Here is a 1,509-nt window from a genome sequence, read left to right as displayed (position 1 = left end):
TGAGAGGTCTTAAAAGAATATACTACTGTCTTTGCACGTGAATACAAACTACTTTTGGAAGTTTTTGCTAATCAAAAAAAAAGTTCTTTTGCCAGATCAAAGCTTAGTTGTGGCCAGTAAAGAAATCACTTCCGGGCCAGGCACAGTGGCTCATGCCTGTAATCTCAGCCCTTTGAGAAGCTGAGGCAGGCAGATCACTTGAGGTCAGGAGTTCAAGATCAGCCTGGCCAACGTGGAGAAACCCTGTCTCTACTAAAAATACAAAATTAGCCGGGTATGGTGGCACACACCTGTAATCCCAGCTACTTGGGAGGCTGAGGCATGAGAATTGCTTGAACTGAGGAGGCAGAGGTTTCAGTGAGCTGAGATTGTGCTAGTGCACTCCAGCCTGGGCAACAGAGTGAGACTCTGTCTCAAAATTAAAAAAAAAAAATAGAAAAAAGAAATCACATCTGGAACGGTAACTGTACTTTGAATCACCACCTTATTAAATTTATGATAATCCCCTGTCATTCCTCAAATTCCCTGCTTTTCTCACATAGTCCTAATAAATGAGTTAAGTAGGGGTGTGATATCATCCCTCATACATCTTTGATGATGGAATAAACTCTAGGATTATTTTTCAAGAATACACTATTGCTTTTCAGTCTACTCTTTTGATGGACAAGGAAAATCAAGCTTCTACTTAATGATTTCTATCATAACAATTCTCATTCCTTGGTTTAAAGAGCCAATCTAGGAATTCTACCATCTGCTCAATATTTCCATGTCTATTCCAATTATGCATTTGTATAACCACGGAGTATGTTCTTAGATTCACTGGACAATTGTAAAATGAGTTCTCACCAAATGTTCACATATCAGCTGGCTGCCATAACTTCTCAACCCCTCATTCTCATCACAGTGATGTTTCTTGGATCACAAAAAATTAAAGTAGTTTAAAGAAATGTTCAAAAGTCCCCCCCAAAGTCTCAATATGTCCTTTTCCCAATGCACTACCACTCTAGTAAATGACTACAAGTCTTTAGTAGAGGCTAGAAGAAAGATTGATAGCACATACCTGTGCCAGTAGTTTCAAAGGGAGCAGACATTTGCTTTATTCAGAGTTCTAAGTTCATGAACAGGCTAAGATCTGGCAATGGTAGAAAAAAAGTTGTATCTTTCTGATATGGACTATCAAGATAGATGTTTCTTATAATGCCAAGGTTTTTTTTCAGTATGCAATTTAAGCAAGACTTGGATTGTGGATTTTTCTATTTTTCCATTAAGTAGTAGCAATTTCTCTTTGTTTCTTTCTTTTATTTATTTAATTTTTTTAGATATACAGGGTCTTACTCTATCATCCAGATCATCCAGACTGGAGTGCAGTGGTGTGATCACAGCTCACTGCAACCTTGAATTCCTGGGCCAACATGATTCTCCTGCCTCAGCCTCCTGAGTAGCTGTTATAGAACTACAGCTGCAGGCAACTGCACCTATTTTTCATATATTCTGAAGCTCTTTTATTAA

This window comes from Homo sapiens, chromosome 4, assembly GCF_000001405.40.
Source record: "Homo sapiens chromosome 4, GRCh38.p14 Primary Assembly".
Lineage (NCBI taxonomy): Eukaryota > Metazoa > Chordata > Mammalia > Primates > Hominidae > Homo > Homo sapiens.
The sequence above is the reverse complement of the archived record's forward strand: the minus strand, read 5'-3'. Positions refer to the sequence as shown.